General features: G+C 45.3%; 3 pseudogenes, besides 2 other annotated features; all 3 read left to right on the top strand.

Annotated features, from left to right (window-relative positions):
• Positions 5,578–6,564, top strand: OR7E10P (olfactory receptor family 7 subfamily E member 10 pseudogene; annotated as a pseudogene).
• Positions 12,591–13,246, top strand: OR7E15P (olfactory receptor family 7 subfamily E member 15 pseudogene; annotated as a pseudogene).
• Positions 17,712–18,212: an enhancer, noted in NCBI's record as "H3K27ac hESC enhancer chr8:12548913-12549413 (GRCh37/hg19 assembly coordinates)". NCBI's record gives its function as "activates a minimal SCP1, AML or CMV promoter by ChIP-STARR-seq in naive H9 embryonic stem cells {active_cell/tissue: H9 hESC(naive)}" and the evidence as "EXISTENCE:reporter gene assay evidence [ECO:0000049][PMID:30033119]".
• Positions 18,213–18,713: an enhancer, noted in NCBI's record as "H3K27ac hESC enhancer chr8:12548412-12548912 (GRCh37/hg19 assembly coordinates)". NCBI's record gives its function as "activates a minimal SCP1, AML or CMV promoter by ChIP-STARR-seq in naive H9 embryonic stem cells {active_cell/tissue: H9 hESC(naive)}" and the evidence as "EXISTENCE:reporter gene assay evidence [ECO:0000049][PMID:30033119]".
• OR7E8P (olfactory receptor family 7 subfamily E member 8 pseudogene) lies at positions 24,451–25,476 on the top strand (annotated as a pseudogene).

Below are 25,848 nucleotides of genomic sequence, written 5' to 3'. Positions count from 1 at the left end.
TACCTGATCTGACAAAGCCTTTTCCATTGTATGCATCAGAGAGAGAAAAAATGGCAGCTGGACTTTGAACCCAAACTGTGGGGCCCTGGCAGAAAGGATGGCCCCCGTGTTTGAGGGCCTTGGCAGCAACTGCCCTGCTAGTACAAGAAGCACATAAGCTGACTCTTGGCCAAAACCTGAACATAAAGGCCTCCCGTGTTGTGGTGACTTTAATGAATACTAAAGGACGTCATTGGGTAACGAATGCCAGACTCACCAAGTACCAAACTTTGCTCCGTGAAAATCTCCGTATAACCATTGAAGTTTGTAACACCCTAAACCCTGCCACCTTGCTCCCGGTATCAGAGAGCCCTGTCGATCATGATTGTATAGAAGTGTTGGACTCTGTTGACTCTAGCAGACCTGACCTCTGGGACCAGACTTAGGCATCAGCAGACCAGGAACTATAGGTGGATGGGAGCAGCTTCTTCAACCTCCAAAGAGAGAGAGGTGCAGGGTATGCAGTGGTAACCCTGGACACTGTTGTTAAAGCCAGATCTTTGCCCCAGGGCACTTCAGCTCAGAAAGCTGAACTCATTGTTTTAATTTGGGCTTTAGAACTCAGTGAAGGTGAGACTGTCAACATTTACGCTGATCCTCTGTATGCCTTTTTAACCCTTCAAGTGCATGGAGCATGATAGAAAGAAAAAGGCCTGCTGAACTCTGGGGGAAAAGACAGAAAGTAACCACAAGAAATCTTGCAATTATCAGAAGCAGTATGGAAACCCCACAAGGTGGCAGTTGTGCATTGCAGAGGACACCAGCGAGCTTCCACCTTGGTGGGTTTGGGGAACTCCCGTGCTGACTCAGAGCCTCGACAAGCAGCATCTGCCCCCTTCCGGGCATCAGTCACAGCCCCTCTGCTCCCTCAAGCACCTGATCTTGGACCTACTTATTCTAAGGAAGAAAAGGACTTTCTCCAGGTAGAGGGAAGGACAAGTGATGGAGGAAGGATGGATTCAGTTACCAGATGGCAGAGTAGCTGTGCCACAGCTGCTAGGAGCTGCAGTTGTACTGGCTGCGCAGAAAACCACCCATCTAGGTCAGGAGTCACTGGAAAAGTTGGTAGGCTGGTATTTCCACATCTCGCATTTGTCAGCCCTTGTCAAAACGGTGCCCCAGTGGTGTGTTACCTGCCGACAGCATAATGCGAGGCAAGGTCCAGCTGTTCCGTCCGGCATACAAGCTTATGGAGCAGCCCCCTTTGAAGATCTCCAGGTAGACTTCACAGAGGTGCCAAAGTGTGGAGGTAACAAGCATTTACTAGTTCTTGGGTGTACCTACTCTGGGTGGGTGGAGGCTTATCCAACACGAACTGAGAAAGCTCATGAAGTAACCCCTGTGCTTCCTCCAGATCTGATTCCTACATTTGGACTGCCCTTACGGATCGGCTCAGATAACGGGCCTGCGTTTGTGGCTGACTTGGTACAGAAGACGGCAAAGGTATTGGGGATCACACGGAAACTGCATGCCGCCTCCTGGCCTCAGAGTTCTGGAAAGGTGGAGCAGGTGAATCGGACTATCCAAAATAGTATTAAAGTCTTCCCCGCTGCATATTTAAAACAACACCACAAGGGGCGTCAAACCGCCTGCTAAATTTGAGGGAATGTTATCCTCTACTCCCCTCCCCCGGCTCCGGATATTAGAGACAATAACACAGGGATAATGTACACCCACTGCTTTACTGGGAGTAATATCATCCTCTCCCTTCGTGGATATTAGGAACAATATCACACAGTGCGTGTACGTCTGTCGCGACATTCAATGGAATGTCATCCTGTGCCTCCCTGGATATGACGAACAATATCACGGAGGATGTACAACTTCTGAGATATTGGGAGTGATATCAATTTCTCCCTTCTGGAAGTTAGGGACAACATCACAGGGGTGGTGTACAGCCTCTGGGATGTTGGGACTCATATCATCCTCCCGCCCCCTGGATATTAAAAACCATATCACAAGGGGCGTGTACACACACTTCGATGTTGGTATGAATACCATCCTCTCCCTCTTTGGATATTCGGTGCGATATTTCAGGTGGGGTTTACACCACCTGCAATCTTGGAAGTAATATTATTTTCTCCCCCCCGAGGATATTAGAAACAATATCACAGGGGGGTGTGAACAACCCCTGCGATATTTGGAGTAATATCATCGTCTCCCCTCAAGAATATTGAGAGCAGATCGTAGGGGTGGGGTGTGTACACCCCCTTTGATATTTGATATCATCCTCTTCCCCCATGGATATTAGGAACAATACGAGGAAGGGATGTACAGACTCTGTGACATTTGCTGTCATATAATTGTCTCTCCCCTACATATTAGGAAATATGAAACTGGGGATGTGAACAGCCCTGCGATATTGGGAGTAGTATCATCCTGTCCCCACTTGCATATTAGGAACAACATCACAGGAGGGGTGTACTGCCTCTGCGATATTGGGCCTAAAATTATCCTCTCTTCCCCTGGATATTAGGAAGGGTATCAGAGGAGGAGGGTGTACATTCCCTGCGATATTCAATGTCACCTTATCCTCTCCCTCCCAGGGTATTCAGGACAATAGTACAGGAGGGGTGTATACCCCCTGTGATATTGAGAGTCATATCATCCTCTTTCGCTCTGGATATTAGGAACAATATCACAGGGTTGCATAAGCCCCCTTCGATATTGGAAGTCATATCATCCTCTTTCCCTGTGGATATTAGGAAGAGTATCACAGGGCTGTGTAAACCCCCTGCAGTACTGGGAGTAATATTATCCTCTCTCCCTCTGGATATTAGGGAGATTTTCACAAGGGTGTGTACTCCCCCTGCGATATTGGGAGTAAGATCATCCTCTCCACCCAGGAAATGACTAACAAGGTCACGGGAGTTGTACTCCCCCTGCGATATTGGGAGTAATGTCGTTCTCCCCAAACCTGGACGTTAGCAACAAATCACAGAGGGGGTGTACACGCCCTGCGATATTGGAAGCAGTATGATCCTCTCCCCTCCTGGATACTGGGAAAGATATCATAGCGCAGGTGTACATTTCCTACGCTGTTGGGAGTAGTATCATTCTTTTCCTTTCTGGATATAAGGAAGAATATCACAGGGGTGCTGTAGAATTACTTCGATATTGGGAGTAATATCATCCTCTATTTCCCTGGATATTGGGCGCAATAACACAAAAAGTTGTACAACCCCTGCCATATTGGGAGTAATATCATACTCTCCTTCCCTGGAAGTTAGAAAACAATATCAGCAGGGCTGAACACCCCCTGCGATAATGGGAGTAATATTTACTCTTTCACAGGCCATTTGGAGCAATATCACAGGGAGTGTTTACAAACAGGGGTGGTGTACACCCCCTGTGATATTGGAAGTAACATCATTCTCTCCACCTCCGGATATTAGCAACAATATCCCGGCGGGAGGTGGTACACCCCCAGTGATATTGGGAATAATATCATCCTCTCCTTCCCTGGATATTAGGAACAATATCACAGGGGGGTGTACACCTTCTGTGATATTGGAAGCAATATCATCCTCTCCCCCACTGGATATTAGAAAAAATATCACTCATGGTGTACACCCACAGTGATATTAGGAAGAATATTACAGGGTGTACACCCACTTTGACTTTAGGAGAAATAGCTCCCTAAAAGGTCACAAATAATATCACAGGGTATAGAGTAATATCTCCCTAGGATATTACAAATACTATCACAGGGTGTACACCCACTGTGATAACAGGAGTAATACATCCCAAGTATACTACCAATAATATCACAAGGCTGTACACCCACTATGACATAAGGAGTGATATCTCCCTAGGATATTACGAATAACATCACAGAATGTACACCCATGCTGTGCACCCATGGTGATATTAGGAGTAATATCAACCCAGGACGTAACCAATAACACCACAGGGAGTACAGACATGAGGGACACCCACGGTGATATTATAACTATCTCCTTAGGATAATACGAATAACATCACAGAGTGTACACACATGGTACACACCCACTGTGGCACTAGGACTAGTAACTTTCTAAGATATTATGAATAGCATCACAGAGTAGAAACACATGGTGTACACCCACTGTAATATTAGGCGTAATTTCTCCCTAGGATATTACGAGTAACATCTCAGTGTGTATACACCTGGTGTACACGCACTGTGACATTAAGGGTAATATCCACCTAGGATATTATGAATAACATCACAGGGTGTCCACCCATGGTGTACATGCACTGTGATGTTCGGAATAATATCTCCCTAGGATATTACAAATAACACCACAGGGTGTACAGAAACTGTGATATTACAGGTAATATCTCTCTAGGATATTATGAATCATATCACAGGGTGTACACCCACTGTCATACTGGGAGCAATATCTCTCTAGGATAGTACGAATAATATCACAGAGTGTACACTCACTGTGATATGAGGAGAAATATCTTTCTGGGATATTACGAATTAGATCACAGAGTGTACACACATAGTGTACGTCCACTTTGATATTAGGAATAATATGTTCCTAGGACATTACAAATAACATCACAGAGTGTGCACCCACTGTAATATTAGGGATCATATTTCCCTGGGTGATTACAAATAATATCACATGGTGTACGACCACTCTGATGTCAGGAGCAATATCTCCCTAGGATATCAAAAATCATATCACAGGGTGTACAATCTCTGCCTTCCAGGTTCTGAGGGATTCTCCTGCTTCAGTCTCCCGAGTAGCTAGGGTTACCTGCCACCACGCCCGGCTAATGTTTTTTTATTTTCACTAGAGATGGAGTTCCACCACGTTGGCCAGGCTGGTCTGGAACCCCTGATCTCAGGTGATCCATCAGCCTCGGCTGCCCAAAGTGCTGGGATTACAGGTGTGAGCCATCGCGCTCGGCCAAGAGTTCTATATTCAATTAATTTGGAAACACAGCTCCCATATTTGAGTGTGCATGTACTTTTATGAAGAAATGATGTCAGAAAACCTAAGGATGATAATAAATGTGAAAAGTAACTGGCATGGGAAAAGGTCTTCCGATTAAGAACTCTAAGGTTCCATTTCGTTTTTAGAGAATGCGGTCCTAGCTCTTGTATCATCCTTTGAGATATTCTACATCAAAGGAATTGGTAGCACGGTGTCAGAATAAAATAGAGTGTATTTCCCTGCTCTTAATTTCTTTCAATTAGTCTGAGATCTTTTTCTTAAAGAGAGAAGAACATTTGTATTGCATTTTGTTTTTTCTGAAAAGAGTAGGCCGTATTTTACTGAGATTAGGGATTTCTTATGTATTACCTTTTGGTCTTCTAACATTCTTCAGTGGATTTTCTCTAAAGTAGTATGTACAGAAAGAGTTGAAGAGGAAAAAAGTAAATCATGTCATAATTCTGAGATTTTGGGGTTTGTCACAACTGAGAAATATTGCTGATGGTGTATGGTCCTCAAGTGTGAAAATATTCCTTGTGAATTGCTGGCATCCAAAATGTGCACACAGCATTAAGGCTGGTTTTTATCTTTTCATTTTTCCAATCCTCTTTTCTTCTCAAGGTGTCCAAGTCACACAGAGCCACGGAATCTCACAGGTGTCTGAAAAGTGCTCCTGGGACTCTCTCTGAGAGGATCCAGAACTGCAGCCCATCCTCGCTGGGCTGTCCCTGTCCATGTATCTGGTCACGGTGCTGAGGAACGTGCTCATCATCCTGGCTGTCAGCTCTGACTCCCACCTCCACACCCCCATGTACTTCTTCCTCTCCAGCCTGTGCTGGGCTGACATCGGTTTCACCTCGGCCACTGTTCCCAAGATGACTGTGGACATGCAGTCGCATAGCAGAGTCATCTCTTATGTGAGCTGCCTGACACAGATATCTTTCTTGGTCCTTTTTGCATGTATGGAAGACATGCTCCTGTGATGGCCTATGACAGAGTTGTGGCCATCTGTCACCCCCTGCACTATCCAGTCATCATGAATCCTCACCTTCGTGTCTTCTTAGTTTTGCTGTCCTTTTTCCTTAGCTTGTTGGATTCCCAGCTGCACAGTTGGATTGTGTTACAATTCACCTTATTCAAGAATGTGGAAAACTCTAGTTTTGTCTGTGACCCCTCTCAACTTCTCAACCTTGCCTGTTCTGACAGCGTCATCAATAGCATATTCATATATTTCGATAGTACTATGTTTGGTTTTCTTCCCATTTCAGGGATCCTTTTATCTTACTATAAAATTGTCCCCTCCATTCTAAGGATGTCATCATCAGATGGGAAGTATAAAGCCTTCTCCACCTATGGCTCTCAACTGGCAGCTCTTTGCTGATTTTATGGAACAGGCATTGGCATGTACCTGACTTCAGCTGTGGCACTACCCCCCAGGAATGGTGTCGTGGCATCAGTGATGTAGGCTGTGGTCACCCCCATGCTGAACTTTTTCATCTACAGCCTGAGAAACAGGGACATACAAAGTGCCCTGCGGAGGCTGCGCAGCAGAACAGTCGAATCTCATGATCTGTTCCATCCTTTTTCTTGTGTGCGTGAGAAAGGGCAACCACATTAAATCTCTGCATCTGCAAATCCTGCCCCTTAGTCACATTATTTTTGTGGCTTGATGGCTTTTATTCCTTTCCGCATTTCCTATGCGAATATTGCTTTCTTTGTTATGTCTTTAACTGCAATGGGTGAGGATTCTGGGATCCTTTGTTGAGCAGAAACCTCATGACTGAATCCTCTATATCTAGGCAGCCTCCTTTAGTTTCTGCGCAATAACACTGTCATCCAGGTGGAATCACAACCATCTTTTTATACACACGAAGTCCTCACTTCATTTTGGAATTCCCTGAAAATTGACTTTATGGAGACAATGTACAGAAGGTCCTCCGACACCATTGGTGTGTTCAAAGTTGTTTGGTTATAATATTGGTGAGGAATCCGTGGTTTCACTATACAGAATTTTGCCTAAAGGTGAGGTTTCCAAGAGACTTTCAAAGATGTTAAGTGAGGATATACTGTACATGAAATTCATATCCTCTTCCAGAGTTTATGTGGAATTTCTTTATAAACTGTTCTAGAGAATCTATTTAGGCAGTTTGTGTGTAGAGATCCATGTCACTGGTCCTCAATCTTGGTTTTGAGTCATATGAACTGGGGAGCTTACAAATGATGAGGCCTGGGTCTCAATACCTGAGATTCTGATTTACTTGCACCTGTGTGAGTATGTGGTTTTTTTTTTTTTTTTTTTTAAGCACCAGAGGTTGTTCCTATGAAGAAGTTTTTAGAGGCATCAAGCTCCAATGAGTAAGAAGAGAAGTTAATTGTAATCTGATTTCTTCAACTATGATCTTCAAATGCATTGTCCATCAACACCATACAAATGTTTATTATGCTGTTTTTTCTTACCATTTAGCATGTTCTATTTTGTTTCTTTTTCTTTGTTTTTGTTGAGGCAGAGTTTCACTCTTGTTGCCCAGGCTGGAGTGCAATGGCATGATCTCAGCTCACTGTAAACTCCGCTTCCCATATTCAAGCAATTCTCCTGTCTCAGCCTTCCAAGTAGCTGGGATTACAGGCATGCGCTACCATGCCTGGCTAATTTTTTATTTATTTTATTTATGTTTGTATCTTAACTGGATACAGTGTTTCTCCATATTGGTGAGGCTGGTCTTGAACTCCCGATCTCAGGTGATCCGCCCTCTTCAGCCTCCCAAACTGCTGGGATTACAGGCGTGAGTGACCACGCCCAGCCACCACTTAGCATTTTCATTTTACATTTCTTCAAGTTGGAGATTTATACACACATTGATTGCTGCTTTGTTATACACTCACATATACATAAGATGGGAAATAGAAAAGAATAAAATGGGCACAGTATCCCTGAAGTTTCACATTCCGAGATATTTTAAAAATATTTCCTTTTTAGAAATTTGTTTCAATTTAGAAACTGTGGTATGCACACACAATGAAGTATTATTCAGCCTAAAAAGGAATGAAATCCTCTCCACTGCAGACAAAATGGATGAGATGGCAGGTCTGTATATGAAGTGAAATAAACCAGGCAGAGAATGACAAATATTTCATGTCCTCACTTATATGTAGGAACAAAAAAGAAAATCTTGGCCAGGTGTGGTGGCTGAGGCCTGGAATCCCAGCATCTTGGAAGACAGAGATTGGCGGATCACCTGAGGTGAGGAATTCAAGACCAGCCTGACCATCTTGGTGAAACCCTGTCTCTACAGAAAATGCAAAAAAATTAGACGAGCGTGGTGGCATGTGCCTATAGTCCCAGCTACTCAGGAGGCTGAGGCACAAGAATCGCTTGAACCTGGGAGGCGGAGGTTGCAGTGAGCCCAGATTGTGCCACTTCACTCCAGCCTGTGTGACAGAGTGAGACTCCATGTAAACACAAAACAAAACAAAACCAAGAAAGAAAGAAAGAAAGAAGGAAACAGAGAGAGAGAGAGAGACAGAAAGAAAGAAAGAAAGAAAGAAGGAAAGAGAGAGAGAGAGAGAGACTGAAAGAAAGAAAGAAAGAAAGAAAGAAAGAAAGAAAGAAAGAAAACAAAAAAACCAGACAGGCAGTTCTGACACAGGCTGCAACGTGGATGAACCTTGAAGACATTATCGTCAGTGAAGTAAATAAATCCCAAAAGGATAAACACGACCAGGCTCAGTGGCTCGCACCTGTAACCCCAGCACTTTGGGGCGCTGACGCAGGCAGATCACTTAAGGTCAGGAGTTCGAGACCAGCCTGGCCAATAAGGTGAAAGCTCGTCTCTATTAAAAATACAAAAATTAGCTGGGCGTGGTGGCGCACACCTGTAATCCCAGCTACTCGGGAGACTAAGACACAAGAATCGCTTGAATCCCCGATGTGGAGGTTGCAGTCAGCCCAGACCATGCCACCGCACTCCAGCCTGGGCTACAGAGAAAGACTCTGTCTCCAAAACAAACAAATAAAAAAATTAAACACGGTAGGATTCCACCTACATCAAGGGTCTAGAGTAGTTAAACTCATAGAGCTGCAAAATAGAATGGTGGCCCCCAGGGATGGGCGAGAGAGAGGAATGGAGAGTTTGGTTAATGGGTGCAATTTCCATTTTGAAAGATAAAACTGTTCTGGAGATGATGGCGGTGATGGTTGCTAAACACTGTGAATGTACCTAATGTGATTAAACTGTAAACTGAAAAATAGTGGAAATTGTCAATGTTGATACTGGCCATTCTATATGAAATAATATATATTTATAATTTTTAAGATGTATACGTGGTATATTTTCCCATCATAACAGATGAAAACAAAAGCACTTCGGTCTTGCAAAAGGAAAGAAAGAAGCGAATAATCCACACAAGCTTCCTCCTGATTAGAGGAAAAGCCCCAGAGCTTCTATGGACACTCACTTTTCTCTTCTTCTTTCATAATTATGAGGAAATCCTTAGAGGTTGGGGAACTTGGGCGACTTTGGCTAATGAGGAGCTCTGTGCCTTGAGCCTCCCAGGCCACAGAATAGTAAATAGTCAGTCTGTGCCTCCAGCCCTGCATGTGAGGTTCCAGTCCTGTGGGTTCCACACCCGTCACCTGTATCAGGAGGCTCATGTCTCACCCTGTCTTCTTGCCAGCCTTGAGGACGGAGTCTGAGCCCCCAATGTGCACCACGCAGGGAGGACAGTGGACCTGTTCTCCGTGGTCATGGCCCAGCAGAGGGGAAGGGCGGTTCCGTGAGTGCTGAGGGACGGTCGGGAGCCTTGTTTGGTTTCCTCCTCCTCAGGACAAACAGGAGAGTGCCGTGGGCAGATGGGAGGAGACCAATGTGCAAACTGTCAGCTCAGCAGACTGTGGAGTTTCTGTTCTTGGTTATGGTGGGGGGGTCTCTCTCGGAAATCTCATTCAAAATGTTGCTTTCCTCCCCAACTGGTTATCCTTTTCATAGACATCTCACCCATGATAGCAGGGAATGAGTCCCTCTAAACTAATCCATCAGAACAACAAAAAGAGGATGAAGGTGATGATGAGGATAAAGACGATGATGACGGACACCATGGCATCATGAACCCTTACTGAGGGTTTCCTGAAGGCCAGGCTCTGAGCTCTGTGCTCTATGCAGCTTGTTTCATTTCATCTGCATAGTCTCCACGTTATTAGTGCACATTTCATGATGATTTTACAGACTAGAAAAGGAGCAACGCATTTTCATAGAACTTGTAGCAGATCGTGAAGTCAAAAAGGGTGAAGTCCAATTTGAACCAGGCAGTCTAAGTCCAGACACATGGCATTTGGCCAGTTCTCTCCCTGCATCCAACCTGCCTTCTGAAATCCTTGTCACTCAGGCCGACGCCCCTGCTCCCTGTGCCCTTCCCTTTGGGGGTCCCTTGTAGAACACAGCTAGAGCAGTGGGTGCCACAATCACTGCGTCAAGTATGGAAAGGGTAGCTGAGATCACATCAAAGATTCCAGAAAGAATGGGCACAGGATCATTCGGGATGCCTCTCTCCCTTGCCCCTGTTCCTGGCTTTCCTTACAGCTCTGGGCTTCCTCAAAGGGGTCATCAATTCAGAGTTTGGCTTCCATTCATATTGAGGAAGCTAGAAACCATTTCAAAAATGCTCCTCCAATGTGCCTGTGATTAAGACCTCTGAGCTCTGCTTAAAACTTTTTGAAGCTGGGCGCGGTGGGTCATGCCTGTAATCCCAGCACTTTGGGAGGCTGATGCAGGTGAATAACAAGGTCAGGTGTTCGGCTGAGGCAAGAGAACAGCTTGAACCTGGGATGCGGAGGTTGCAGTGAGCCGAGATCTGTCCATTGCACTCCTGCCTGGGCAACAGAGCGAGAATCCATCTCAAAGAAACAAAAACAAAACCCCCCAAAAAAACCCCACAACTTTTTGAGAGTTGGGAGACCATCAAGTATAGTACCTGGGACTTAGAGTCTGGCCATTAATTTTCAGTACCACCCTTTCTACTTATCTGTATGGCAAGGGGTGAGATGTCCATCCTCTGGGACTCAGCACTCTCATCTGAGTTGATTTCTAGTTGATCCAATAGAACTGAGCGATGATTAAACAGATCGTCGGTGCCCTTCGTTAATATTTTAGGCTTAAACTCCACACAGTCCAACAGAAATATCCCCTGACCTGAAGTTCTGGTTTCCCTGTATTCCACGCAGGACATTTTTTTTGTCCTTCTCTCAGTAAGTACTGGGTACTGTGAGAGGAACAAGTGAGTCTCTTTTGTTTCTGATTCCCCAGAGCCGATATCTTGCTTGGCATACAGGAGACAGCAAAAGTAAAAATCTATGTGAATTATTGAATTGACACTTCCTTGGTTCACAAAAATTGGCTGTCATCAGTGTGACATCAGTGTGACAGAGTGCGTGTTTTTTATTTTTTGTTTTTTGAGATGGAATTTTGCTCTTGTTGCCCCGGCTGGAGTGTAGTGGTGTGATCTCGGCTCACTGTAGCCTCTGCCTCCCAGGTTCAAGCCATTCTCCTGCCTCAGCCTCCCGAGTAGCTGGGACTACAGGCACGCGCTGCCATACCGGGCAAAGTTTTTGTATTTTTAGTAGAGGCGGGGTTTCACCACGTTGGCCAGGATTGTCTTGATCTCCTGACCTCGTGATCCGCCCTCCTCGGCCTCCCAAAGTGCTGGCATTACAGGCGTCAGCCACCGCGTCCAGCCAAATGTTCTGATGAAAACTCTAAGTCCACCTAACCTAAGGACAGGAGTTAGAGCTTCCATGAATTTTAAAACAAGACCCACCGATTTGAGGAAGCAATTACTCTCTGGAAGGAGAAAAGTCAGAAAACATAATGACAAAATCACTAGGACCTATCTGGCCTGTGGAACTATTTTCTGCTTATGAACTATCAACTTTCATTTCATTTCCAGATGGCATCGTCTCAGCTGTTATACAGTGCTTATAAATCTTCTACATCAAGGGAATTTGTATCAGTGTATTCGAATCAAAGAAAATGAGATCTTAATTTCCTTTAATTAGAATAACCTTTTTCTTAAAGTGAGGAAAATGGTTCCATTACAGAGTTTTCTTCGGAAAAGATAGGCTGTATTTTCTAGTAATTGTGAATTTGTTCTATATTATGATCTGGTTCTTGGAACATTCTTGAATCTAGTGTCTCTAAGACAGGTGTGTACAGCAAGAAGTGAATAACACAGAAATCAATGATGAAAGCATTAGAAGACAATTAAGTTTGTCAGAACTGCAAAATATTGCTGAGTGTGGATTGTTCTGAAATCTGAAAACATGACTTGTGAATTGCTTCTATCCAAAGTGCAGACACGATGCTGGGTGTTGGTTTACTTGTTTCCGATTTTTGAACCCTCTTTCCTAGGCAAAAGGTGTTCAATCTCTACATACCCGCAGAATTTAACAGATGTCTCTTTATTCCTCCTCCTAGAAGCTCAGAGGATCCAGAACAGCAGCCTGTCCTCGCTGGGCTGTTCCTGTCCATGTGCCTGGTCACGGTGCTGGGGAACCTGCTCATCATCCTGGCCGTCAGCCCTGACTCCCACCTCCACACCCCCATGTACCTCTTCCTCTCCAACCTGTCCTTGCCTGACATCGGTTTCACCTCCAGCATGGTCCCCAAGATGATTGTGGACATCTAATCTCACAGCAGACTCATCTCCTAGGCAGGCTGCCTGACTCCCATGTCTCTCTTTGCCATTTTTGGAGGCATGGAAGAGAGACATGCTCCTGAGTGTGATCCCTATGACCCGTTTGTAGCCATCTGTCACCCTCTATATCATTCAGCCATCATGAACCCGTGTTTCTGTGGCTTTCTAGTTTTGTTGTCTTTTTTTTCTCAGTCTCTTTTAGACGCCCAGGTGCACAACTTGATTGCCTTACAAATGACCTGCTTCAAGGATGTGGAAATTCCTAATTTCTTCTGGGAACCTTCTCAACTCCCCCATCTTGCATGTTGCGACACCTTCACCAATAACATAATCATGTATTCCCCTGCTGCCATATTTGGTTTTCTTCCCATCTCGGGGACCCTTTTCTCTTACTATAAGATTGTTTCCTCCATTCTGAGGGTTTCATCATCAGGTGGGAAGTATAAGGCGTGCTCCACCTGTGGGTCTCACCTGTCAGTTGTTTGCTGATTTTATGGAACAGGCTTTTGGGGGTACCTCAGTTCAGATGTGTCATCTTCCCCGGGAAAGGCTGCAGTGGCCTCAGTGATGTACACGGTGGTCACCCCCATGCCGAACCCCTTCATCTACAGCCTGAGAAACAGGGATATTAAAAGTGTCCTGCGGCGGCCGCACGGCAGCACAGTCTAATGTCAATATCTCCTTATCTGTTCCATGCCTTTTGTAGTGTGGGTTAAAAAAGGCAGCAAGGTCAAATAAGAATGATATCACAGGGTGAACACGCACTGTGATATTAGGAGTAATACCTCCCTAGGATATAGAACATACTGTCATAGAGTATACACATATGGGGTACACTCACTGTGATATTAGAAGCAATATCTCCCTAAAGTATGATGAAAAATATCACAGGGTGTGCACTCTGTGTGATATGAGGAGTAATATTTACCCTGGATATTACGACTAATATCAAGGGTGTACACACACGAGGTACACGCACTGTGACATCAGGAGTTGTATCTCCCTAGGATATTATGAATACTATCACAGGGTATACACTGTGTGTGTACATCCACTGTGACATTTGAAGTAATATCTCTCTATGAGATTATAAGTAACATCAAACTGTGTACGCCCCTGTGACATATTAGGAGTAACATCTTTCTAGGGTATTACAGATAACGTCACAATGTGTACACCTCCTATGACGTTTTGTACACTCTTTGTGACATTAAAAGAAACATCCCCCTAGGATATTGTGAATAATGACACAGGAGGCGTACACACATGGTGTACACTGCCTGTGTCATCAGGAGTAACATTCCCCTAGGATATTACAAATAATATCACAGCAGGTGTACACGCATGGTGTACACCCCATGTGACATTCAGAAGAGTATGCCCCTAGGTTATTAGGAATAGTGTCACAGGCGTGGAATACACATTTTTAATGCGTAATGTCACCCCCGGTGACATTAAAAATAACATCCCCCTTGTATATTACGAATAATATGACAGGGAGTACACCCCGTGTGACATTAGGAGTAACATCCCCCGAGGATATAACGAATAATATCAGAGGGTGTACATGCATTGTGACTTTAGTAGTAACATCTCTTTAGGATATGACAAATAATATCACAGGCTGTACAGGCATTGTGACATCAGTAGTAACATCCCTCTGGGATATGACGAGTCATATCACAGGGCGTACACCCCCGTTACAATAGTAGCAGCATTCCCATAAAATATTATGAATAATATCACAGCAGGTACAGCCCCTGTGATTTACGAGTAACATGTCTATAGACTATTACAACTCATATCACTGTGTGACTCTGTGTACACCCCGTGTGACTTTAGGAGTAACACCCTACAAAACTATGAGGAAAAATATCACAGGGTGAACACCCCCTGTGAGCTGAGGAATAACGTAGTTTTAGGATATTGTGAATGAAGTGACGAGGTGTACACACCCTGTGACGTTAGGAGTAATATCCGTCTAGGATGTTAGGAAGAATATCACACGGAACACACCCCTTGTGACGTTAGGATATGACAAATAACATCACAAGGTGGACACGCATCATGGCATTAGTGCTAATATCCCTCTGGTACACTGTGAATAATATCACAGGGTGTACATCCCTGTGACATTTGGAGTAACATCCCCCAAGAATAGTAAGAATAATAACACGGGGTGTACACCCCCTGTGACATGAGGAGTATCATCTCGCTAGAATGTTAACGGATAATGTCACAGGGTGTTATCGACGGTGCCAATAGGAGTATAGACCCCTGGGAAATTATGAATAATATCACAGGGTGTACAGCCCTCTGACATTAGGAGTAACATCTTTCTAGATTACCACAAATAAAATCACAATGTGTACACCCCCTGTGTCATTAAAAGTAAAATTGCCCCAGGATATTACGAAATAGAACACAGGGAGCACACCCCGTGTGACATTAGAAGTAACATCCCCCGAGGATATAACGAATAAAATCAGAGAACGTACCTGCATTGGGACATCAGTAGTAACATCTCTTCAGGACATTACGAATAATATCAAAGGGTGTACACGCATTGTGAAACTAGTAGTGAACTCTCGCTAGGATATTACAAATATTATGACAGGGTCTACAGGCCCTGTGACATTAAAAGTAACGTTTTCCTAGAAGATTACGAAGAATATTAAAGGGTGTACAGGACCTGTGAATTACGAGTAACATTTCCATAGCATATTGCACGAAACATCACTGTGTGTACACGCCGTGTGACATTAGAGGTAACATCCCACAAAATTATAACGAATAATTTCAGAAGGGGCGCACCCTCTGTGACATTAAAAGTAACATGTCCCTAGAATACGACGACAAGATCACAGAGTGTACACCCTCTGTGATATGAGCAGTGACATCTTATGAGGATAATACGGGTAATTTGACAAGGTGTACAAACCCTGTGACATAAGAAGTGACATCCCTCTAGGATGTTATGAATACTATCAAAGGGAACATACCCCGTGTGACAATAAAAGTAACCTCCGCTTAGGAGAACAAGAGTAACATCACAAAGTGTACACACATTGTGACATTATTATTAATGACCCGCTAGGATATTGGGAATAACATCACAGTGTAAAGAGTCCTGTGATATCAGGTTTAACAATCCCCAACAAAATTACGAAAAATATTGAAGGGTGTATAGCCCCTGCGACTTTAGCAGCCGCATCTTGCGAGAATATGGAAGATAATGGGCCAGGGCGTGAAACGAGGGTGGCAGTACAGAAAGAATCCAAGGAAAAATCGGGGAGCAATATCACTCCCCACGACCCGCCTTAGATATGACGAAGCACATCGCAGGGGGGTGAGGAGCACCCCACGATGCGGGGAGCCATATCACCCCGCTCTCGCCTCCTGGATATGACGATCCACATGGCAGGGGGGTGAGGCGCCTCCCGCGATGCGGGGAGTAAGAGCCAGCCCCTCTTGCCCGCCTGGCTCTTAGGATCCGCGGTGGTCTCACAGCCTGTTTATCATATTGTGAGTAATATCATCTCCCCTTCTGCAGATTATGAACTGTTTCACAGACCTGTGTACACCCTGGATGTGCAGAAGTTGTACACTCGTCTGTATTGGGAGTCATATCATCCTCTTCCTCCCTGAATATTAGGTACAGTATCTCAGGGCTGTTTCTACTCCCTGGGATATCGGGTGTCATGTCCTCCTGTCCCACGTTGCAATTAGAAACAATATCATTGGGGGCATGTCCGCCTTTTCTGATATTGAAAGTAATATTATCCTCTTCCCTCCAGGATCATGCCAACAATATCCTTGGGGGTGTCCCCTTTCTGCCGTATATGTCGTCACATCACCCCCTCGGCCTTGGAATATTTTTAGGGACCATCTCACTCGGGGGTGTACACTTCCTGCTATTTTGGGAGTAACAGCATTCTCTTCTTCGGTGAATATTAGGAGCAAAATCAACGGGTGGATGCACACCCAGTGCTATATTGGGAATAACGTCATACTCCACCCCCTGGAGATTATATTCAGATCAATATCACCGGCTGTGTGTACACCTACTGCGATATTGAACTTAATATCATACTCTCTCCCTCACTGGACTTTAGGAGCAATATCACAGGTGGGTGTACACCCACTGAGGTATTAGGGTGTAATATGAGCATGAATTATACCTCATTTATTATTAACATCAATATGAATGACCAATATTAATATTAATATTAAGAAATAATTGCTAATAAATAGTTTTCAGATTATTAATATTAACAAGAATTATTAGGAGCTAATATTACTGTTTTCTAATGAATAAGATCAATATCAGTTATTAATATCAGGCCTCATTAATCATTAATATTAATCATGTATTATTATCGTTAGCATAAATATTTAATATTAATTATCATTATTATCAGTATTGATTTTAAAAATTATATTATGGGTTATTAATATTGATAAATATTAGTGTGAATTAATAATTGAGATTATTAATTGCGGCAAGTCGCATTGCGCCATTGCACCCCTCCCTCGGCAGCTCGTTTATGACCCTAAACCGGGACACAAATGCCCCTGATAGAGCAGGGGTAGACTGGGATAGATGAGGATGGTCACGTGGTGGAGAGGCGTGTTTTTGGGTACCAGCCCTTCACCTGCGTCGACCTTCTCAACTGGAAAAACAATACACCGCCCTATACCGAAAAGCCACAATCCCTAATTGATTTGCTCCAAGCTGTTATCCAGACCCACAACCACACCTGGGCTGATTGGCACCAGTTGCTCATGTTCCTCTTTAACTGCGAAGAAAGGCGGAGAGTCCTCCAAGCAGCAACTAAGTGGCTAGAGGAACATGCACCAACTGAGTATCAAAACCCCCAAGACTATGGAAGGACCCAGTTGCCAGGAACCGACCCCCAGTTGGACCCACATGGAAGAGAGGATATGCCAAGGCTAAACCGAGACAGGGAAGCTCTCTTGGAAGGATTAATGAGGGGAGCTCAGAAGGCCACAAATGTTAACAAGCTCTCTGAGGTCATTCAGGGAGAAGAAGAAAGTCCAGCACAATTCTACGAGAGACTGTGGGAGGCCTATCGTATGTATACTCCCTTTGATCCCGATAGCCCTGAAAATCAGCGCATGATTCCCATGGCTTTAGTCCGTCAAAGCGCAGAAGACATGAGAAGAAAACTGCAGAAACAGGCTGGGCTTGCAGGGATGAATCCATCCCAATTACTAGAAATAGCTGGCCAGGTGTTTGTAAACAGGGATGCAGTAAGCCGTAAGGAAAACGACAAAGAGAATGGAAGTCAGGCCCGGCGACACGCCGACCTGTTTGTCAGCTGCATCAATCAGAGGGGCCCCCCAACAAAGAGGCAAGGGAAGGAGGGCCCTGGGAAAGAAACTCAGCTTGGCTGTCAGAGTTTGCAGCGTAACCAGTGTGCTGATTGTAAAGAAATAGGACAGTGGAAGAACAAATGCCCTGAGCTCAAAAGAAAACAAGGTGACTCAGAGCAGGAGGCCCTGGACAAGGACGAATAGGCCCTGCTCAACCTGGCAGAAGGGTTCTTGGACTGAGGGAGACCGGGCTCAAGCGTCCCCATTGAGCCTCTGGTCAGAATGAGAGTCGGGGGTGGAGACATTGACTTTCTTGTAGATAGCGGTGCTGAACATTCGGTAGTAACCGCCCCGGTCACCCCCTTATCCAAAAAGACTACTGACGTCATCGGAGCCAAGGGGGTTTCAGCAAAGCAAGCTTTCTGCTTGCCTCGGACTTGTACTGTAGGAGGACATAAAGTCATTCATCAGTTTTGGTACATGCCTGACTGTCCCTTGACCTTTTCGTTAAGGAACTTGCTCAGCAAGCTGAGAACCACTATCTGTTTGACAGAGCACGGATCTTCGTTGCTAAGGTTACCCAGAACGGGAGTCATTATGACCCTTACGGTCCCCCGAGAGGAGGAATGGAGACTTTTCTGAACTGAGCCGGGCCAAGAGAGAAGACCAGCTCTGGCTAAGCGGTGGCCAAGAGTACGGGCAGAAGACAACCCTCCGGGATTTGCCAGTTAAGACTGGGGCCCTGCCAGTAAGGCAAAAACAGGAGCCGGTCCCCAGAGAAGCCCTTCAAGGTATCCAGGTCCATCTCAAGCACCTAAGAACTTTTGGAATGATTGTTCCTTGTCAGTCTCCATGGAACACTCCCCTCCTGCCTGTTCCCAAGCCATGGACCAAGGACTACCGGCCGGTACAGGATTTGCGCTTGCTTCATTAAGCTACACTGACTTTACATCCAACAGTACCTAACCCGTCCACATTGTTGGGGTTGCCGCCAGGTGAGGACAGCTGGTTCACCTGCTTGGACTTGAAAGACGGTTTCTTTCCTATCAGATTAGCCCCTGAGAGGCAGAAGTTGTTTGCCTTTCAGTGGGAAGATCCAGAGTCAGGTGTCACTACTCAGTACACTTGGACCGGGCTTCCCCAAGGGTACCATCTTCGGGGAGGCATGGGCTCCAGACCTCCAGAAGTTTCCCAGCAGAGACCTAGGCTGCGTGTTGCTCCAGCAGGTTGATGACCTTCTGCTGGGACACCCCACGGCAGTCGGGTGTGCCAAGGGAAAAGATGCCCTACACCGGCACCTGGAGGACTGTGGGTAGAAGGTGTCCAAGAAGAAAGCTCAGAACTGCTGACAGCAGGTACGTTACTTGGGATTTACTATCTGACAGGGGTCGGAACGCAGCCCGGGATCAGAAAGAAAGCAGGTCATTTGCCATCTAGCAAAGCCTAAGAGCAGAAGGCAGGTGAGAGAATTCTTAGGAGCCGTGGGGTTTTGTAGACTGTGGGTCCCAAACTTTGCACTATTAGCCAAGCCTTTGTATGAGGTCACAAAGGGGGTGGGGACAGGTAACCTTTGGAATGTGGATCCCAACAACAGCAAGTCTTTCATGAGTTAAAGGAAAAACTTCTGGCAGCGCCAGCCCTGGGGCTACCCAATCTGACAAAGCCTTTTCTATTGTATGCATCAGAGAGAGAAAAGATGGCAGCTGGAATTTCAACCCAAACTGTGGGGCCCTGGCCGAGGCCGGTGGCCTACCTCTCTCAACAACTAGACGGGGTTTCTAAACGATGGCCCCCCTGTTGGAGGGCCTTGGCACCAACTGCCCTGCCAGTATAAGAAGCAAATAAGCTGACTCTTGGGCAAAACCTGAACATAAAGGCCTCCCGTGCTGTGGTGACTTTAATGAATACTAAAGGACATCATTGGCTAACGAATGTCAGACTCACCAAGTACCAAACTGCTCTGCGAAAATCCCCTCATAACTATTGAAGTTTGTAACACCCTACACCCTGCCACCTTGCTCCCAGTATCAGAGAGCCCTGTTGATCATGATTGTATAGAAGTGTTGGACTCTGTTGACTCTAGCAGACCTGACCTCCGGGACCAGCCTTGGGCATCAGTAGACTGGGAACTATACGTGGATGGGAGCAGCTTCTTCAACCCCCAAGGAGAGAGAGGTGCAGGGTATGCAGTGATAACTCTGGACACTGTTGTTGAAGCCAGATCGTTGCCCCAGGCCACTTCAGTCCAGTAAGCTGAACTCATTGCTTTCATTCGGGCCTTAGAACTCAGTGAGGGTGAGACTGTCAACATTTACACTGATTCTCGGTATGTCTTTTTAACCCTTCAAGTGCATGGAGCGTGATAGAAAGAAAAGGGCCTATTGAACTCTGGGGGAAAAGACAGAAAATATCAAGAAGAAATCTTGCAATGATTAGGAGCAGTATGGAAACCCCACAAGGTGGCAGTTGTGCATTGCAGAAGACACCAGCGAGCTTCCACCTTGCTGGGTTTGTGGAATTCCCGCGCTGACTCAGAGGCTCGAAAAGCAGCATCTGCACCCTTCTGGGCATCAGTGCTCCCTCAAGCACCTGATCTTGGACCTACTTCTTCTAAAGAAGAAAAGGACTTTCTCCAGGTAGTGGGAAGGACAAGTGATGGAGGAAGGATGGATTCGGTTACCAGATGGGAGAGTAGCTGTGCCACAGCTGCTAGGAGTCGCAGTTGTACTGGCTGTGCAAGAAACCACCCATCGAGGTCAGGAGTCACTGGAAAAGTTGTTAGGCCGGTATTTCTACATCTCGCCTTTGTCAGCCCTTGCCAAAACGGTGAGGCAGCGGTGTGTTACCTGCGACAGCATGATGCGAGGCAAGGTCCAGCCGTTCCGCCCGCCATAGAAGCTTATGGAGCAGCCCCCTTTGAAGGTCTCCAGGTGGACTTCACAGAGATGCCAAAGTGTGGAGGTAACAAGTGTGTACTAGTTCTTGGGCGTACCTACTCTGGGTGGGTGGAGGCCTATCCAACACGAACTGAGAAAGCTCGTGAAGTAACCCCTGTGCTTCTTCGAGATGTGATTCCTAGATTTCAACCGCCCTTACAGATCGGCTCAGAAAATGGGCCTGCGTTTTTGGCTGCCTTGGTACAGAAGACGGCAAAGGTATTGGGGATCACACGGAAACTGCATGGCACCTCCCGGCCTCAGAGTTCCGGAAAGGTGGAGCGGATGAATCGGACTATCAAAAATAGTACTATTGTCTTCCCCTCTGGATATTTAAAAGAACACCACAAGGAGCGTCAAACCACCTGCTAAATTTGAGGGAATATTATCCTCTCCCCTCCTCCCCTGGCCCCGGATATTAGAGACAATAACACAGGGGTGATGTACACCCACTGCTTTATTGGGAGTAATATCATCCTCTCCCTTCATGCATATTAGGAACAATATCACACGGTGGGTGTAGGCCTGTCGCGAAATTCAATGGAATGTCATCCTGCTCCTCCCTGGATATGAAGTACAACGTCACGGGGGATGTAGAACTTCTGAGATATTGGGAGTGATATCATCCTCTCCCCTCTGCAAGTTAGGGACAATATCACAGGGGTAGTGTACACCCTCTGGGATGTTGGGACTAATATCATCCTCCCGCCCCCTGGATATTAAAAACCATATCACAAAGGGCGTGTACACACACTTCGATATTGGTGTGAATACCATCCTCTCCCTCTTTGGATATTCGGTGCCATATTTCAGGTGGGGTTTACACCACCTGCAATATTGGAAGTAATATGCGTTTCTCCCCCTCTGGATATGAGAAACAATATCACAGGGGTTTGTGAACAACCCCTGCGATATTTGGAGTAATATCATCGTCTCCCCTCACGATTATTAAGAACAATATCGTAGGGGGGGATGTACACCCCCTTTCATATTTGATATTATCCTCTTCCCCCCTAGATATTAGGAACAATATCAGGAAGGGATGTACATACCCTGTGACCTTTGCTGTCATAGAATTTTCTCTCCCCTAGATATTAGGAAAAAATGTCACTGGGGATGTGAACAGCCCTGCGATATTGAGAGTAGTATCATCCTCTCCCCCCTTGCATATTGGGAACAACATCACAGGTGGGGTGTACTGCCTCTGTGATATTGGGAATGAAATTTTCCTCTCTTCCCCTGGACATTAGGAAGGGTATCAGAGGGAGAGGGTACACATTCCCTGCGATATTCAATGTAACCTTGTCCTCTCCCTCCCAGGGTACTCAGAACAATATTACAGGAGGGGTGTACACCCTCTGCGATATTGAGAGTCATAGCATCCTCTTTCGCTCTGGATGTTAGGAACAATATCACAGGGTTGTGTACACCTCCTGCGATATTGGGAGTCATATCATCCTCTCTCCCTGTGGATATTAGGAAGAGTATCACAGGGCTGTGGAAACCCCCTGCGGTAGTGGGAGTAATATCATCCTCTCTCCCTCTGAATATAGGAAGATTTTCACAGGGGGGTGTACACCCCCTGCGATATTGGGAGTAAGATCATCCTCTCCACCCAGGAAATGACTAACAAGGTCACGGGGGTTGTACACCCCCTGCGATATTGGGAGTAATGTCGTCCTCCCCAAACCTGGATGTTAGCAACGAGATCACAGAGGGGCTGTACACACCCTGCGACATTGGAAGTAATATGATCCTGTCCCCACCTGGATACTGGGAAAGATACCACAGCGCGGGTATACGTTTCCTACGCTGTTGGGAGTAATATCATTCTTTTCCTTTCTGGATATTAGGAAGAATATCACAGGGGTGCTGTACAATTACTTCGATATTGGGAGTAATATCATCCTCTATTTTCCTGGATATTGGGCACAAAAACACAAAAGGGTGTACAACCCATGCGATATTGGAAGTAATAGCATACTCTCCTTCCCTGGATGTTAGAAAACAATATCATCAGGGCTGAACACCCCCCGCTATAATGGGAGTCCTGTGTACTCTTTCACAGGCCATTTGGAACAATATCACAAGGGGTGTTTACAAACAGGGGTGGTGTACACCCCCTGTGATATTGGGAGTAACATCATTCTCTCCACCTCCGGATATTAAGAACAATATCCCGGCGGGAGGTGGTACACCCCCAGTGATATTGCGAATAATGTAATCCTCTCCTTCCCTGTATATTAAGAACAATATCGCAGGGGGGTGTACATCTTCTGTGATATTGGAAGCAATATCATCCTCTTCCCCGCTGGATATTAGAAAAAAATATCACTCACAGTGTACACCCACTGTGATATGAGGAGTAATATCTTCCTAGGGTATTACGAATAATTTCACAGTCTGTACACACATGGTGTACACTCCCTGTGATATTAGGAGTAATATCTACCTAGTAGATACAAATAACATCGCAGGGTGTACACCCACTTTGATATTAGCTGTAATATTTTTCTAAGTTGTTACAAATAAGATCACAGGGTGTACATACATGGTGTACACTCACTGTGATATCAGGAGTCGTATCTCTGTAATGTATTATGAATAATATCACAGGTTGTACACCCACTGTATTATTAGGAGTAATATCTCTGTAGGATATTACAATTAATATCACAGGGTGTAGAGACACCGTGATATTAGGAGCAATATCTTTCTAGGATATTACAAATAATATCAGGGTGTACACCCACTCTGCTGTCATAGCTAGGGTTACCCGCCACCACGCCCAGCTAAATTTTTTTTATTTTCACTGGAGACGGGGTTTCACCACGTTGGCCAGGCTGGTCTGGAACTCCTGACCTCAGGTGATCCATCAGCCTCGGCTGCCCAAAGTGCTGGGATTACAGGTGTGGGCCATGGTGCTGGGCCAAGAGTTATATATTCAATTCATTTGGAAACACAGCTCCCATTTTTGAGTGTGCATGTACTTTTATGAAGAAATGATGTCAGAAAACCAAAGGATGATAATAAATATGAAAAGTAACAGGCATGTGAAAAGGTCTTCCGATTGAGAACTCTAAGGTTCGATTTCGTTTTCAGATAATGGGGTCTTAGCTCTTGCTTCGTCCTTTTACATATTCTACATCAATGGAAGTTGTAGCACGGTGTCAGAATAAAGTAGAGTGTATTTCACGGCTTCTTAATTTCTTTCAATTAGACTGAGATCTTTTTCTAAAAGAGAGAAGGACATTTTCATTGCATTATATTTTTCCTGAAAAGAGTAGGCTGTATTTTACTGAGATCAGGGATTTGTTATATATAACGTTTTGGTCTTCTAATATTCTTCCGTGGATTTTCTCTAAAGTAGTATGTACAGAAAGCCTTGTATAGCAAAAAAGCAAATCACGTAATAATTCTGAGATTTTTGGAATTGTCACAACTGAGAAACATTGCTGGCGATGTATGGTCCGGAAGTGTGAAGATGTTCCTTGTAAATTGCTTGCATCCAGCATTAAGGGCTGGTTTTTATCTTTTATTTTTCCAATCCTCTTTCCTTCTCAAGGTGTCCAAGACACACAGAGCCACGGAATCTCACAGGTGTCTGAGAATTCCTCCTCCTGGGACTCTCAGAGGATCCAGAACTGCAGTCGGTCCTCGCTTTGCTGTCCCTGTCCCTGTCCCTGAATCTGGTCACGGTGCTGAGGAACCTGCTCAGCATCCTGGCTGTCAGCTCTGACTCCCCCCTCCACACCCCCATGTACTTCTTCCTCTCCAACCTGTGCTGGGCTGACATCGGTCTCACCTCGGCCACGGTTCCCAAGGTGATTCTGGATATGCAGTCGCATAGCAGAGTCATCTCTCATGTGGGCTGCCTGACACAGATGTCTTTCTTGGTCCTTTTTGCATGTATAGAAGGCATGCTCCTGACTGTGATGGCCTATGGCTGCTTTGTAGCCATCTGTCGCCCTCTGCACTACCCAGTCATAGTGAATCCTCACCTCTGTGTCTTCTTCGTTTTGGTGTCCTTTTTCCTTAACCTGTTGGATTCCCAGCTGCACAGTTGGATTGTGTTACAATTCACCATCATCAAGAATGTGGAAATCTCTAATTTTTTCTGTGACCCCTCTCAGCTTCTCAACCTTGCCTGTTCTGACAGCGTCATCAATAGCATATTCATATATTTCGATAGTACTATGTTTGGTTTTCTTCCCATTTCAGGGATCCTTTTGTCTTACTATAAAATTGTCCCCTCCATTCTAAGGATGTCATCGTCAGATGGGAAGTATAAAGCCTTCTCCACCTATGGCTCTCACCTAGGAGTTGTTTGCTGGTTTTATGGAACAGTCATTGGCATGTACCTGGCTTCAGCCGTGTCACCACCCCCCAGGAATGGTGTGGTGGCATCAGTGATGTAGGCTGTGGTCACCCCCATGCTGAACCTTTTCATCTACAGCCTGAGAAACAGGGACATACAAAGTGCCCTGCGGAGGCTGCGCAGCAGAACAGTCGAATCTCATGATCTGTTCCATCCTTTTTCTTGTGTGCGTGAGAAAGGGCAACCACATTAAATCTCTGCATCTGCAAATCCTGCCCCTTAGTCACATTATTTTTGTGGCTTGATGGCTTTTATTCCTTTCCGCATTTCCTATGCGAATATTGCTTTCTTTGTTATGTCTTTAACTGCAATGGGTGAGGATTCTGGGATCCTTTGTTGAGCAGAAACCTCATGACTGAATCCTCTATATCTAGGCAGCCTCCTTTAGTTTCTGCGCAATAACACTGTCATCCAGGTGGAATCACAACCATCTTTTTATATACAGGAAGCCCTCACTTCATTTTGGAATTCCCTGAACACTGACTTTATGGAAACAATGTACAGGGTGTCCTCCAACAGCATTGGTTGTTCAAAGTTGTGT

Source organism: Homo sapiens, chromosome 8 (genome assembly GCF_000001405.40).
Source record: "Homo sapiens chromosome 8, GRCh38.p14 Primary Assembly".
NCBI lineage: Eukaryota > Metazoa > Chordata > Mammalia > Primates > Hominidae > Homo > Homo sapiens.
The sequence above is the reverse complement of the archived record's forward strand: the minus strand, read 5'-3'. Positions and strand labels throughout refer to the sequence as shown.